Source organism: Homo sapiens, chromosome 2 (genome assembly GCF_000001405.40).
Source record: "Homo sapiens chromosome 2, GRCh38.p14 Primary Assembly".
Taxonomy (NCBI): domain Eukaryota; kingdom Metazoa; phylum Chordata; class Mammalia; order Primates; family Hominidae; genus Homo; species Homo sapiens.
Genome location: NC_000002.12, coordinates 141,611,658 through 141,629,018, shown reverse-complemented (window position 1 = coordinate 141,629,018; position 17,361 = coordinate 141,611,658). Strand labels below are relative to the sequence as shown.

The following is a 17,361-nucleotide window of genomic DNA, read 5'->3' as shown; positions in this document are numbered from 1 at the left end:
ATGCTTATACAGATTGGTTGTACAAATTAAAGGCAGTAATGTATCTACATCCTCATACAACACTTGTTCAGCCTGGGTGCAGTGGCTCACAGCTGTATTTCTGCACTTTGGAAGGCTGAGGCAGGAGGATCACTTGAGCTCAGGGGTTCAAGACCAGCCTGGGGCAAAATGATGAGACCTCATCTTTTCAAAAAGTAAACAAAATTAGCTGGGTGTGGTGGCAAGTACCTGTAGTCCCAGCTACTCAGGAGGCTTTGGTGGGAGGATTGCTTGAGCCCAGAGGTAGAGACTGTGGTGAGCTGAGATTGTGCCACTGTACTCCAGCCTGGGTGACAGAGTGAGACCCTATTTCAAAAAAAAATTAGAAACTTGTTTATAACAGAAACTTATTATAGCTTCTGCCCATCTCCCTCCACTGTAGGCAACCTTGCTTGAAGACTGACAGACATTTATCTTACCTTGTTCATCATGTTTACCATTCTTAAAATCCTGTTTCTTAAAATTTCATAGGTCACTCTGCAGCATAATTTTGTTAAAAGCATCAGCTCTTCCATCAAGAATTTTTTTTTTTACATCCTATTCATTGTTTACCCAACATTAAGAAAGTGAGTACAGTTTGCTTTTGTAATGACTGACCAATAAGGAGACAGAAATAAACTTAGGAAAAGAAGACTACTAATGAATTTTCTGAGACCTACCTTCTTTCTGAATCCAATACAATGTTTACCTTCATCTCTATTAATCCATCAAATCAAGCACAAAAGGAAATTGTACTCACAATTTGATTTTCATCATCTATTCTTACCAATGTCACAAGAAATATTAGAAAAGTAGCATTTGGTTGTTGGTGGTGTTACTCTGTAATGTCAAGTTTAGGTGAAGATTTGTAAGTACAGCAAATCACAGGGTCCCAGGGTCCTACTCTGTGATCAGAGACCCTGTTTGCTCTTTTACCCAGCCACCTAACTGTGGATTATCTTTGAATCTTCAAAGTATGTCAAATTTTTCCACATAGTATTAAAATTTATTTGTTAATAGAATTTATTTTTAGAGCAGTTTTAGGTTTACAGCAAAATTGAGCTTCATCTCCATTGATCCATCAAATCAATGAGTTCTTAACTCTCTACTTTCTGACCTCCCCGACTCCCGACAGCCTCCCCTACTATCAACATCCTGCACCAGGGTGATGCATTTGTTATAATCAATGAAACTATGTTGGTATCGCGTAATTATCCAAGGTTCACAGTTTACCTTTGGATTCATTCTTGGTGTTGTACATCAACAGTCCCTAACCTTTTTGGCACCAGGAACCAGTTTCGTGGACGACAGTGTTTCCATGGACCAGGGGTGGAGGAGAATGGTTTCAGGATGATCCAAACGCATTATATTTATCATCAGATTCTCATAAGGAGTATGCAACCTAGATCCTTAGCATATGCAGTTCACAGTACGGTTTGCACTCCTATGAGAATCTAATGCAGCAGCTGATCTGACAGGAGGTGGAACTCAGGCAGTGATGCTGGTTGGCCTGCAGCTCATCTCCTGCTGTGCGGCCCACTTCCTAACAGGCCACAGAGGAGTACTAGTCTACTGCCAGGGGGCTGGCGACACATACTATACATTGTATAGGTGTTGACAGATGTAAAATGATATTATCTTCCACTGTGATATTATAGAGTAGCTTCACTACCTAAAATCCTCTGTGCTCTGCCTACTTATTCCTCCCTTCCCCTTAACTCCTGGAAACCAATGATCTTTTTACTGTCTTCATAGTTTTGCTTTTCACAGCATGTCATAGCTGGAATCAACAGTATGTAGCCTTTTCAGATTTGCTTCCCCCATTTAGTATTATGCACTTAAGTTTCTTCCATGTCTTTCAATGACTTGATAGCTGCTTCTTTTTAGCACCAAAAAAGATTGCAATGCCTGGATATACCTCAATTTACTTATCCAGTCACCTCTGAAGAACATCTTGATTGCTTCTATATTTTGGCAGTTGTAAATAAAACTGAGATAAACATTTTTGTTTAGGCTTTTGTGTGCACATAAGTTTTCAGCTATTTGTGTAACCTTCAAGGAGCAGAAATGTTGAATCATACGGTATGAATGTGTTTACTTTTTAAAAAATCTGGCAAACTGTCTTCCAAAGTGGCTATATCCTTTTGCATTCTCACCAACAATGAATTCTCAATCATTGCTCCGCATTCCTGTCTGCATTTAATGTTGTCAATCTTCTGGATTTTGGTCATTCTAATAGATGTTTAGTAGCAACTTATTACTGTTTTAATTTGCAGTTCCCTGATGATACATGATGTTGAGCATCTTTTCGTATACTATTTGCCATCTTCTTTGGTGAGGTGTCTGTTTAGATCCTTTGCCCATTTTTGAATCAGGTTGTTCATTTTCTTACTGTTGAGTTTCAAGAGTTTTTTGTATATTTTGTAAAATAGTCCTTTAGCAGATATGTCTTTCGTAAATGTTTTCTCCCGGTCGATGGCTTCTCATTCTCTTGACATTGTCTTTCACAGAGAAGCAGATTCTAATTTTAATGAAGTCCAGCTTATCAATTATTACATTCATAGTTGGTGTCTTTAGTGCTGTATCTCAAAAGTTACCTTCAAACCCTAGGTCACTTAGATTTTCTTCTATGTTATCTTCTAGGAGTTTCATAGTTTTGCATTTTACATTTAGCTCTGTGATCTATTTCAAGTTAACTTTTGTGATGGCTGTTAGGTCTGGGTCTAGATTTATATTTTAACATATGGATTCCAATTGTTCCAGCATCAGTTGTTGAAAAACTATCTTTTCTCTATTGTATTGCCTTTGCTCCTTTGTCAAAAGTCAATTCATTGTATTTATGTGGATTTACTTCTGGGATCTCTTATAATTTATTTTTGAATGTTTGTTTCTTCATGTGCTGTGAGTTTTGTAAAGCAGTGTAGTATGTGTTTAAACCCCTGTATGTCTATAACCCCTAAATAGGGACTGGGTACAGATTTTCTGTATGAAATCTTCTCATAAAATTAGGGAGAATAATTAATTATTCCACATAAAATATAAACAATATAAGGTTAAGTTAAATATATTTTTAATGCTCTTGAAATATGCAATCTAAATATAGAATTATCTAGATTATTTCAAACTATCTGATCATAAAACTTCCTTGAGGCAGTTTTAATCTTATAGGTTCCCAGTCAAAACCCAAAACTCTTCAAGAAAGAGTCCTGGGAAACTGTGTTCTTAATAAAAATCCTAGGTGATTTATATGCTCAGTGAAGTTTAGGTAACACTGATGTCTATAAAAAGTAACTACAAGTTTAAAATATCTAACATCACATGTAAATGCATAATATATTTATTTCATTTATTCATTCACTTATGTAGCATATATGCACTGAGCTCTAAGTCGATCACGTACTATGCCTGGGAATAGAAAGGTAAATAAGAGTCTCTACCCTCAAGAAGATTACATTCTTTCAGTAACAAATAAAAGGTTAAAATAAGTGGGCAAAATAGAAGCACCAAAGGAAGATTGTTTAGAAACATTAGAAAAAAATGTACGGAGTAGATAATGTTTTCATAATATCCTTAGTATGTTTTTCATCTGACTTTCTTTGTCCTAATTAGAATGGATATATGATTCAACACATTTTTTTAAAAATCCATTATCTCAGGCAATTGAAATACCCTATCATTGAGTATAATATTAATTACCTCACTCAAGGTACCATTCCATGTTTGAATAATTACATACATTTTTGCTGAATCATGTTGGCATTGTATTGGTGTCTTATTGAAGACTTCATCAGCTGAATAAATTCTGTGACTTAAAAAGTGCGAAGAAAAGATCCACAAACAACATATTAATTCCAATTACTCTACCTTTAATTACTGTAGAATAAATTTGCTACTAGGAGGAGGAGACATTATCTTTGTTTTAAATTTCAACCCTGCCAGGTGCGGTGGCTCACGCCTGTAATCCCAGCACTTTGGGAGGCTGAGGCGGGCGGATCACGAGGTCAGGAGATCGAGACCATCCTGGCTAACACAGTGAAACCCCGACTCTACTAAAATACAAAAAATTAGCCGGGCGTGGTGGCGGGCGCCTGTAGTCCCAGCTACTTGGGAGGCTGAGGCAGGAGAATGGAATGAACCTGGGAGGCGGAGCTTGCAGTGAGCCGAGATCGCGCCACTGCACTCCAGCATGGGTGACAGCGCGAGACCCCATCTCAAAAAATAAAAATAAAAAATAAATAAATACATAAATAAATTTCAACCCTTTCATGAGTTACATTTGTAAAAATGAGATAGGAAAAATGAATAATGCTAACATAAAGTTTGGTTTTGAAAATGGTAACTATATTTAAATTGTAAATCTGCTAATCTGTTGGCATATTTGGGCCTATATCTATCTATTTATAGATAGAGATAGATACATAGGTAGATACACAGATAAAACTTATAAACAGGGAAATGTATTTGCCAGCTGTATTTTTAATATTCTTTTTTCCCAAGGCAATAATCTTCTAAATAGATATTTAAAAAGTATATATTAGCTATTCCAAACAAAGATAAACCACAGTTTTGTGGAAAGAATAATATCAACATTCTAGTCCTCTTTTATTCAACTAGCTGTTGATACTTTTAGATGTTTTACTTAACCTCTCTGGGCATCATTCTCACCGTGTATAAAATGTTAGCTGATGGTTAACATTTGTTTTACTTTAAAGTTCTATTAATATACTTACTCAGGTTGTATAATATTATGCCTATGACTGGCTTGCAATAAAAATTTTGTTTGGGTGAATAAAAAACAACTTGTACCCTACTAGCTGCCTTTAAAAGTTCTCAAATGAAGATTTACTTACTATGTGGATAACTTAGTGTAGACTATATACATATACCCTTTACTAATTTTATTCCTTGCATGCCATGTATATATTATGTACTAATCTTGTTTTTTTTCTTTTCTTTTTTTTTTTGTTTAATTTTTTTTTTTTTTTGAGTTGGAGTTCTGCTCTGTTGCCCAGAACTAGAGTGCGGTGGTGCGATCTCGGCTCACTGCAACCTCTGCCTCCTGGGTTCAAGCAATTATCCTGCCTCAGCCTCCCGAGTAGCTGGGATTACACGAACCTGCCACCGTGCCCGGCTAATTTTTGTATTTTTAGCAGAGACGGAGTTTCACCATCTTAGCCAGGCTGGTCTCAAACTCCTGACCTCATGATCCACCCATCTCGGCTTCCCAAAATGCTGGGATTACAGGCTTGAGCCACCCCGCTTGGCCCTAATCTTTTTTCTGTATGCATTAGAGGTCATAACATGTCTCTATGTTGCCCCGGTGAAGAGGGGATCAGAACTTTGTGGTATCATTTTGCTTGCTTGTTACTCTACACCAAAGTGGGTGAAGTCTAAGGTGAAACCATGATCTGTTCAGGTAATATTGAGGGTATTTTCAGTGGGTGTATATAAGACCAAATTATAAAACCTATATCTTGAGAACAGTGGGGATTGCTATCAAGAAATTAGAAAAGATAAAGGCAGCGTTTAAGAAATGAGAAAAAGACAAAGGTGTAAATTATTTCATAAGAAAGCACTTCTTTGGAATTCCGCTTGGTCAAAATAGTAAGAAAGGAATCCTTAGGGTGTGGAACATTATATACCATTGTCCACAAATAGTTGCTTATTTTTACCATCTTTACAACTGATTCATAACAAATAAATGGCAAAACTCTGCAATTTATTTGATTGATTTTGAAGAATGTGGTTTCATTAATTCAGAATTTATTTGGATATGGACAATGCGAGTTAACATGAATGTTTTCTTTAAAAGTGATTTTTTTTTAAATTAAGTGATCACAGCTTTGAAGACAGATTTTAAAATGTGCCTTCTTAGATGGGTTGGTAAAGTATCTTTAGAAAATGGGCACTTTCATTCATAATTGCTTTATCTTAGCCAATTCCAGCTGGACTTGCCGTAGTCTTCAAGGACAAGTTGATGTCATGCTGAACCATATGTGTTATGCTGATAATCAGCATCATTGGAACTGAAACTCTGCCATCTATCTTTTGTGTGATTGACCTTGTTATTTTAAAGGTGGCAGGGGTTGGGGGAGGAATTTGGCAAAGCATCCAAAAAATCAGAACACTTCATAGCTCTGCAGTTCATCCTAGACATTAAGGTCAGATCAGGTGCCAAATAACCTGACAAATTTGGAATGAGCAGCAGGACAGCTACCTAGAGAACATCAGAGGTTCACAATGTCATCCCAGCAGCACGCAAAAAATAGGATAGTTACTAGCAACCCTTTGAATTATTTGGCTGATATTATTTGCAGAGACAATGAACTCTTCCACTTTACTTTCCAGAGAGACTGTGTGGATACATAGCATGTCAATAAAAATGGATTCTTACATAGTCCTGGAATAGTTAATGCAACCATTTGTATTGTGAATCACTTTACTGATGTGATAGCAAGAAGTTGAGGTTCAAAGGGCAGTTTCTAAGTAGATATATTGAAAGGTATGTAGCAGAAACCCATACTACCTGCTGATGTGCAAGTTCTAACAAGGAAGTTGAGTACAGTAATTGACATGAAAGTCACATAAATCAAAAAGAATCCACTTTCTCTTTATTCAACATTTTTTAAATGTACCATTCTAAGGTCTATAAAGAAATTTAAAAATTGGAAGCATGCTGTGATATTCATAGATGAGCAATTTAATTGTATAATGTAGAATTTTTGAATTCTCATTTTTTAAAATTTAGAAATAAATACTAAATATTATCCATTAATTAGTTAAATCCCTTGCTATAAAATGAGAGTAATGAGCCAGGCGCGGTGGCTCACATCTATAATCCCAGTACTTTGGGAGGCCAAGGCTGGCAGATCACCTGCGGTCGGGAGTTCAAGACCTGCCTGACCAACATGGAGAAACCTCGTCTCTACTAAAAATACAAAATTAGCTGGGTGTGGTGATGCATGCCTGTAACCCCAGCTACTCGGGAGGCTGAGGCAGGAGAATTACTTGAACCTGGGAGGCAGAGGTTGCCATGAGCCGAGATGATTCCATTGCACTCCAGCCTGGGCAACAAGATCAAAGCAACATCTCAAAAACAAAGAAACAAACAAACAAACAAAAAAGAGAGATAGTAATGAATAATATTTCATCTATATTTTTGGATCGACTTTTCCTCCCCCATCTTCTTTTCTTCTTTTCTTATTCCTCTAAAATCTTTTCCCCATTCTTTTATTTTCACATCAAACCCAAAAACTCAAAATTGTGAAAGAAATATCTCTGACAAAATTGCGGGAGAGACTATTTCATTTTCTGCCTCCCCTCCTGCATAAATTTCTGACTAAATCTAAATATTTAAATGTATTAAGGTTTTGATGAGTTTAGGAAAATACTGAGATGTATCAATTATTATCCAAAACCCTTAATTTTGACATTCCTGAAGCAGTTCCATGATTAGTTTAATCTTACGTGTAGTTTAAGGGAATATATCGTAATTTCATTCACATCTAGAAAATTCACTTAATGAATCAAGCCTTATGTAACACTGATGATAAAAGTTTGCCTGAATTCATCTCTGTATTTAATTCTAACTTTACTTCTCTGGTATTTTCTGTCTTATCAAGTCATTTATCTTAATTACAATAGGCAATGGTCAGAATTCATCATTATTCATGTTAATTTTATGAAATGAAATAATGAAAATTGTTTTAAACTCATAAATATTAGTTTTCCCCTTTCCACGTAATTTTTATTTGCCAATTGAGAAAGAATTTTAAAACATTGTACTCAGTAACAATATGAGCATTGATGATCATTATAAAGTATTATAGGCATATATAATTTTATATGCATTCAATGTATGTAAAACATATGAGGGTTGGAGCTCACCAGGCCTGTATTACTGACTATAGAGACAATCTTAACATTTTACTTTCTCAAGTACAAATGCTGATGTAAATAAAAAGCATCATGCTCTGGTTTAGCTGTTTTTGTTCTCCTGGGAATACATAGCCTTAGAGTTGAACAAATGAGAAATATACCTTTTTTTTTTATTAAAAGGTTAATGAAATTCTTCATGACTTTTTGGAAGAAAATTCAGTTTGGGTTTCTGCCAATGTCTGGAAACTTTCCCAGTATGTCCAACTAACCTGAATGATACAAGCCACTTAAAAAAATCAATACTATAACTAAGACTTCAACCAAATGGGTTCTGAAAAGGTGTCTTCATTTAAATGAGTAAAAAAAAGAAAAAAACAAAACAGTGGTAAAAACAGAGTCAGAGAAAGGATTTCAGTGGTTAAGAATATTTAAATTTTGTGTTTGTTATTCCACCATGAGTGATTTGAACAGAAAATATTTCTTTAAAATATGTATTAACATATTCAACATATTTATGAAAAGTCAGAAAATTATTTTGACTCACTAAAATAACAGAAAAAAGTATACACTGTCATTTCCTTCTCATATCCAATATGTCTGTAATGAAATTCTAGAGAGAGAATAAAACCTGTATTGCCTCTTCTACATGCCATTTCTATTTAATTCATGGTTTAAGGAAATTAAAATGATTATTTTTTGAGAGATGCAGCCAGTCATGCCTTTTACAATTAACTTGTTAGAATAATCAAAGCTATGTAATGGTTTTGTTAAAAGCTGTTCAAAGAGAGGGACAGTGTATGTCACAAATTGCCTATCTGCTAATCTTCTTCACAACCCTTTTATGAATATACAAAGTATACTGACTTTAAAATCTTGCCAGTTATGGCTGGGCATGGTGACTCATGCCTGTAACAGGCTGAAGTGAGAAGATTGCTTGAGGCCATGAGTTCAAAACCAGCCTGAGTAACACAGCAAGATCCCATCTCTATATTTTCTTTTTTAAATAGCTGGGCATGGTGGCATCTGCCTGTAATTCCAGCTACTCAGGAGGCCAAGGTGGGAGGATTGCTTGAGCCCAGGAGTTCCAGGTTACAGTGAGCTATGATTGCACCACGCTCTCCAGCCTGGGTGACAGAGTGAGACCTTGTCTCTAAAAATAATAATAAATTTTAAAATAGCCAATTATAAGTAGCATGAAATAATTATGTCAGACAATCATCAACATTAGCCCCTTTTAATCTGCTCGTAGGATGGTTTTAGAGTGGGTGGATCATGTTCTCAACTTACAGTTCTATCAGAAGGTATTGCTTCCTTAAGAGATAAATAAAAGCTGTACCTCTGTGTTCTGCCAATTTCATCTCATGTCTCAAAAGAATCCAATCATCTATCCTCTAATCTTATCTTGTGTTTCTAAAGAGACGTTGCTGTTTTGCTACTCTTGTTGAACTAAGCTCCAGATAATTTGAATTCATTAATTTGCAAACTCACAGATTCTTAATAACTCATTTTTAATATGTGGTTGATTATTATATATTTTTAAGAGAGAAAATTTCCTAGTACATATTTAAATGAAACTAATCAGACAGGCGGATTACAATGCAAATTAATTGAATTGCAGAATCACCTTTAGCTTTTCTTCTCTTCCCTTCATCCAATCAAATATCATTTCCTCCAGATCCTACCTCTTCAGTTCCGCTCATATGCATTGTTCATTTATTATTTTAACAAACATTTATCAAGCCCAATAATGTCCCAAGGTATAAGCTGGATGTAGGAATAAAATACGAAGTATTAGCTCCTCCTGTTGTTAAAGAGTTCGTAGATTACTATGTAAAACATGAAAATGAATGAAAGTGCTAAGTACGGTAATAGAGGTAGGACAGTGTTTCAGCAAATAATGCCTACTCAAGATCAGGCCCTATGATTATAAAAAGCAGAAATTCCCTAAAAAGGCTCAAGAAAAGCAGGTTGAGGTGGGGAGTGGCATAAAGGTTTTAAATAACCGAATAGAGAAATCAAACAGGATAGGAAGCACTAACTCAGTAGAAATCAATAGGGCTCTAATAGGTGAGTTACTCTGTTCAAGACAGCCTTGGGAGATCATAGCAGATAAAATCCTTGAAACTTCCCTATAAAGTTTTACTTTAATGCAATTCACTTGAACTCCGTAAGTTTGTTTCTGTCTTGCTACCAATATATAATGTATTTTCCTCTTTATCTTAGTTCAAATTATGTAAGATGAAAAAATAACTGATGGTCAAGGCTCAGCCTCCAGATGGACTCCCTTAATTCAGTTACCCACTTTAATCCTATCACATGAGGTGCAGAAGGGTGACATTTAGCCATCTAGGTCCATATATTCAGCAGCAGAGACTAAGGACAGGAGGATCAGGTAAGCTCAACACACCAAAACATATCCGGCACAATATCCTTGCCACTTTCACTGCTGTTTCTATAGTTTCATTCTTACTGATAGACTATTGTAGTGGCATCCTGACTTACTTTCTGGATAGAGAGACAGATCAAAAACAGGTGGTCATGTAAATGACCACGTATTTTTATAGATGTTCTCATGGCACTTAGTTTTTATTTTTCTCAAAGTAATGCTTATTTATAACTCTGTCTATAATTAGGGAAACATGGGAGAAACTATGTTTCCCTGTATGTTCAATGAATGTTCAATAAATGAAAGAATAAGTGAATAATTGAGTAATAAAAAATGATTGACCTTGTCTTGCACCTAAACGTCATAAAACATTTGTTTGAAGTTGAAATAAATAGAACTTTCATTAGTTAATGAACCCAAGGCAGAGGAATATCCAACTTCTATAGGAATCTGTGGAAGGAACTAGGATTCTCAGTTGCCTTTTGCTGTAATCACTGTCACCACCAATTTGTAAAAGGATGACCATAAATTACTAGCGAGGAAAAAAAAAATAAAAGCACACCAGAGAAAGGACAATAATTTTCTGTTTAAGGGCAAGTTCTTTCTCCGTCCCCTCAGACCTCAAAATACATACATGCCCATAAGAGCATGAATATTGACTCACATATAGCAAACACTCAGGACTTTGATTTGGACCTTTTGCAAGCACTGGTTTTCTGATTCTCATTGCAGTAGGGGCCACAGCATGTCTTCACTTTCCTTCTTGAAAAATAGCCTAGATGTCCTATTAAACTGCTAATAAATAGCTTGTAGGTTCTTGTTTTATTTTGTTTTAAGCCTTAAAATAAAATAATTAGGATAGAGAAAATACTGATGACTATTAAAGTTAATTACTTGTATACATGGGAGTTTTTATACCACTCTCTACTTTTTAGAGTGTTTAAAATTTTACATTGGAAAAGTAAAATAAAAAGTGACAAAAAGTAAACTTGGTATTAATTACATTTTTTAAAAGCCTAAAATTCCTTCTATTTGCCCTATCTTGTGAATCTGTCAGTATTGTAGAAAGATTTGCTTTGAACACTTATTACTGGATAACTCATTTTGTATTATCTGAAGAGAAAAATGCATATTCTCTTACCACAATCTTATGAGAAAAGACTAAGAAAATATTGGCTAAGTAAGGAAAGCATTGATAGATATGAGAAATCCAGAGAAAATTTTATAGAAATAAAAATCACCACATTGATCTCTGAAAATTACTTTAAAGGCTAGCATGCTCCATTCTGTCCTGCAGTCCAGCCAATGATACCTCACCATATTAAAGTAGACCCCTGAAATTGTACCCGTAGAAATAAAAATGCTCACATAAGTTAGTCTGTTTATTTTCCATAACACTTTGACTTACATAGCAACAGTACACATAGCAATTGACTTGATTTTTCTTCTCCCTAAACTTCTTGTGTTTGTATATTTGTTTAATATTTATTGAAGATCTGAAGTTGTGTAAGGTTTTGTTCAATCACTGGAGATAGGTGTGTAAAAAATACACAGTTCTTGCCTTTACGAGCACACATTCCACTGGGAAGGCAGACACCCGAATGTAATCAAAATACAGTAAGCTATTTTATAGAGATATACCCCGATGATAAAATAAAATGAAATAAAAAGAGGGACTGAATAATACTAACTTCAGGAGTTGGTGAAGGCATGGCAGATGGATTAATGTTTATGCAAGAACCTGAAGAGTAAGTCTGATTGCCCAAGCAGAGATCTGGGGAGAGGACTGCTCTTTGAATGATGATTTGTAGGTACTGAAGAGGAGGGGAAAGAAGGCAGAAAAATTAGAGAGTTACAATTGAAGAGCTTTAACAAAACAGTACTTATAAGTGGTACTGAATAAGGCAGAAAAACAGTAAAGAGTGATTGTACACCAGAGATATAGAAAGTGATTAATTTGAAAGTCTTAGTAACATACGAAACTAGAAGCCACAGATGGATGTTTGAAATCTTTTGTGTGCAGTAAGCATTAAGGTGTTCCCTGGGATTTCCAAAACAATTTTTTAAAAAGAACTGTACTTATAAATCTGAGGAATGTAAATAAATATTTCCTAGATATACATATTTTCACATGAATTAAAGTAATAATTGTTAGCCTTTGCATATCTATAAAATATCTTTCTATTGAATGACTAGTGTAAATTAAAGATCTCTCTTGAAAGAAAGTCAGGTATATGCAAATATTACAAGAAGAGAGAATTTTAAACTAATTGATAGCAGAGTGTCAGTAATTCTTAAAAGAGTAGGTATAGCCACGTATGAAAGTTACTGAGGAGATAATGGGGGTGGGAGAGTCAATATGATTATTGTTTTCATTGCCTAACATATTGAATTGTTCATATAAAGTTTATGTCATTTTATATAGCTTTTTTTTCTTTTTTTTTTTTTATTTTCTTGAGACAGAGTCTCACCCTGTGGTCAGGCTGGAGTGCAGTGGTGCAATCTCAGCTCACTGCAACCTCCGTCTCCTGGGTTCAAGTGATTCTCCTGCCTCAGCCTCCCCAGTAGCTAGGACTACAGGCACACGCCACCACACCCAGCTAATGTTTGTATTTTTAGTAGATACAGGGTTTCAACATGTTGGCCAGGATGGTCTCAAACTCCTGACCTCGTGGTCCGCCCATCTCGGCCTCCCAAAGTGCTGGGATTACAGGCGTGAGCCACCATGCCCAGCCAGCATTTTTTTTACAACGAGGATTTGGGTGGCAGTTTGATTAACTTAAGAATAAAGACAGTCATCATTATTTTTTACGACCTTAATATATTCTGCGGAAGCTTGGATCTTCATTTGCTATTACTGTTTATAGGATTTATGCCGTTAAAGTCAACCCAGCTATTACCAAATCTTATCCTAGGAATAAATGCTAAGACCTTACTTGAGAACCAATTTCATATGTGGCCTCAAATTTGTATCTCCCTGTTCTTTCTTTTTCTGAAACTTTTAAATGTTCTTCAGGGAAGTTAAGTGAGAGTTTCTGTTTCAAGTACCATAACTAGTTCAATTTTAATTTCTTATTTTATATTAGTTTATCTATTGTAAACACAATATACTTACAGTCATGTAAATTGTTTTTAGAGACTAAAAATTATTTTTGTAATTTCAAGAATTATATTAAATATAAAATTTTATAAATCATTTGGAAAATTTAGGCATAAAAATTGGTGGGCTAAATGTAGGAATTTCAGCCTAATGCATTAGTTTCCTTCATTTCTTAACTCATATTGATCATCTATGAGTGTCAGGGCATTTGGGAAATGTCAGTGAACAGAACAGACTAATATTCCTGCCCTTGTGTGGTTACATTCTAGTAGAGAGAAGGACATATACAATAAATGATGAATATCATGTATTAAACTGTTACAGTCTTGAAGCAGAACTACTTTAATTTATTTCTTGTCTCTTTCATTTACTATAAGCAGCAAAGAGAAATTAGGCTGTACTTTGCACACTTTGCTTAGAAATATCCTCAACTAAATATCTAAGTTTATCACTAACCGATTTACCTTCCTCTCCAAAGTAGAAATAATTCAGCCAAGTTCTCTGCTACTTTGTGACAAAGATGGCCTATCCTCCAGTTTCCAATACATGTTCTCATTTTCATCAGAGACCTCACTAGAAGGTCCTCTAACATACATGTTTCTATCAACAGTCTTTTCAAAGCAATCTAGGCTCTTCCTATTAAATGACTCAAATCTCTTCCAGCCTCTACCCATTACCCAATTCCAAAGCCACTTCCACGTTATTATACCAGGATGCAGTGTGTTCCAGAACCCCACATTCTGGTATAAAAATTTATATTAGTTTGCTAGGGCAGCCATTACAAAGTACCACAAACTGGGTGGCTTAAAACAAGTGAAATTTATTCTCTCACAGTTCTGGAGGTTGGAAGTCTGAAATCAGAGTGTCAGTTGCTTAGATTCCTTCTGAGAGCTCTCAGAGTCAATCTATTCTATGCCTCTTCTTTAGCTTTTGGTGAAGGCAAACAATCTTTGGCATTCCTTCATTTGTAGATCTATCACTCCAATTTCTGTCCCGGTCTACACATGGCATTCTACCTGTGTGTCTCTATGTTGTGTTTTCTTTGTGTGCATTTGCCTTTGTGTCTCAATCTCCTTCTTCTACCAGTCACATTGGTATTAAGGTCCACCCTAATGACCTCATTCTTAACTTGATTACATATGCAAAGATGATATTTCCAAATAAAGTCACATGCACAGGTACCAGGCAGGATTAGGAATTCAGCATATCTTCTTCAGAAACACTACTCAGTTCATCACATGACTAAATTAATAAAATGTATGGCATATTATAGATGGTGATGAGTATATACACACTATATTTTCCCCTCCACATTAGACTGAGGTTATTCTCATTTTACAGGAAAACTTGCAGTGAAATGGAATTTTTCAAAGTGTGTTCTGTGCAGCAATGGTCTGACAAAATTTTGTGTGAGAAAAAGATTCCATAATCAGTAGATTTGTTTTATGCAGCATTTACCTCCTCTCTGTGCTTCACAGTGTCTACTAACCCATTCAGGATTCTGAGAATTCAGAAAAAAGTAAACATTTTCTTTCTTTTTTTTTTTTTTTTTTTTTGAGGCTGAGTTTTGCTCTTATCGCCCAGGCTGGAGTGTGGAGTGCAATGGCTGGATCTCAGCTCATGACAATCTCCGCCTCCTGGTTTTAATCAATTCTCCTGCCTCAGCCTCCCGAGTAGCTGGGATTATAGGCGCCTGCCACTACACCTGGCTGATTTTTGTATTTTTAGTAGAGATCAGGTTTCACCATTTTGGCCAGGCTGGTCTTGAACTCCCGACTTAAGGTGATCCACCTGCCTTGGCCTCCCAAAGTGCTGGGATTACATGCATGAGCTGCCATACCCGGCAAAGTAAACATTTTCTAAAGGAATTTGACCGTAGTATTCTTTTAATCTTAACACTTTCTTCAAAACTAGTGTATTACTTGGAAAACACTTAATGAAACCCTGCAACAAAATCATAGATTTCCTCCTCCTCACTGGTTCTGAGACACGTTTGCGAAGGTTAGCCAAAATGGAAAGCAGAATTGACTCCAATGTAAAGTGTCCAAGTTGATTTCTTATTATTGATAGGTGTTCAATAAGAGTACAGGTATATGCCACTGTAGAGCTACCAGAGTGGAGTCCAGAATTATCAAAATCTATATCTCAAATCCATACGGATTAATTATTAAAATTTAATAAACAAGCAATAAAAATGTGAAAGTTCATGTGGCGGTGTGAAAATACAGGCTCATTAGGAGGAAGTGCAGGTTTCTTATACGGATTTTTTAAATAAACGGTCATGCAACTTTTGGGTCATTTCGTGGTCACTTTCTAGAGGTCCCAGTAATACTGGCTGCTGTAGTGTCAATGACTACAGGACCTAAAACAGCTATAGTGTGCTCCTACATTCAAGGAAGTACTTACCAGAGAGAAAGGAGAATAAGCAGGTAGGCAGAAACAAAAAAGCCAAGAAATTTAACAGGCAATTGTCACAAAAAGGGAGGATGAGGACAGGAAGGCAGTAGACTTCCCTAAAAAACAAAAACAGGCCAGGTGCGGTGGCTCATGCCTATAATCCCAGCACTTTGGGAGGCTGAGCAGGTGGATCACGAGGTCAGGAGATCGAGACCATCCTGGCTAACACGGTGAAACCCCATCTCTACTGAAAATACAAAAAAAAAAAAATTAGCTGGGTGTGGTGGCACACACCTGTAGTCCCAGCTACTCGGGAGGCTGAGGCGGGAAAATGGCATGAACCAGGGAGGGAGAGCTTGCAGTGAGCTGAGATTGCACCACTGCACTCCAGCCTGGGTGACAGAGCGAGACTGTCTCTCTGTATATATACTTAATACAAGGTGAAGATACTTTATAACCTTCTCACTATTGCCTTGGAAAAACTGAGTGATGCGAAGGCGAAAGGGAATTTACTGGGTTGAACCTATAGTACTCTCCAGTGGTTGCCTATGGCATTAATGTGAAGAATCTTTCAGAAAATGGAACACTCTTTCTTTTACATATCACACATTACCGTGAAGCCTCTGGTAACTTTGGGTGTATTTCTACAAATTAGTCCAGGTGTCTCTGGTATTATTTACAAACATCCCAACTGCTTTGCAATATAATTCTTCTGAGTTTAAATATCAAGTGTTATTATAAATATTTACCCTGCACAGCTCTCTGCCTTCAGCTTGTCTTGTGCCCACAACTCTACCCTATGTAGTTTAATTTTTAAAAGATAGAAAGAAAAGCATCCAGTGACATCTCTAATAGGGATTCCTCAAACTTGAAGCCTACTCTAAAGGCAGAAATAAGATCCCTGAAATATAGGCCACTGCTTAGCCCACTTGATGAAGACACTTCAAGTCTCAGGACAATTGGTATAATGTTCCCAACTAAGCTTACTTGAACACTGAGTTTTCCTATTATGAAAGACAAACTTTGGAATCTTCTGATCCATAGTCAGACTTGTTTATCCATTACACCAGTGGCTCACATCCTGGATGACTAATTCTGAAGCAGTCATTTAATGAAGCTTTATTTGGGGGATATTACAAGGTTTGTTGTTTGTGTCTTGAAAATCCAGCTTTCTGTGCAAGCATACAGTTACAGGTAATAAAACGCTACCCATTGTAGTTCCATACTTTCCTCATCCACTTTCCAGGGTAACCTAGGCTATGAACTACATTTTGAAAGAAGGAATCATTAAAATGGCTGATAATTATCCAGAAGCTTACCAGTTTTACCAGTCTCTGAAGAAATTCCCATTAAATCGGGCTGTGTCCTGTTTCCTCAAATAAAATGAGACCATACACCAGAGGCTTATCAGACCTTTTCATTTCGAGGTCATTAATTAAGCATATTCTACTCCAGGTGAAAACGTTTCCCAGAACGCTCTCTTGCATTGACATTTATTTTGTGTTAACCATTCTGCCTGGCATGGCTCCGCACCACATCTAGAGGCCATTTAAACAATATTAAGATAACAACATTAATTCAC

At 36.1% G+C, this 17,361-nt stretch overlaps 1 protein-coding gene and 1 long non-coding RNA gene across 4 annotated transcripts in view; one reads left to right on the top strand and one right to left on the bottom strand.

Annotated features, from left to right (window-relative positions):
* Positions 1-17,361, top strand: part of LRP1B (LDL receptor related protein 1B) — a 1,899,594-nt gene that overhangs the window by 501,998 nt on the left and 1,380,235 nt on the right. The gene's annotated exons all lie outside the window — the stretch shown is intronic.
* Positions 1-17,361, bottom strand: part of LOC107985779 (uncharacterized) — a 151,402-nt gene that overhangs the window by 133,831 nt on the left and 210 nt on the right. The window lies entirely within an intron of this gene.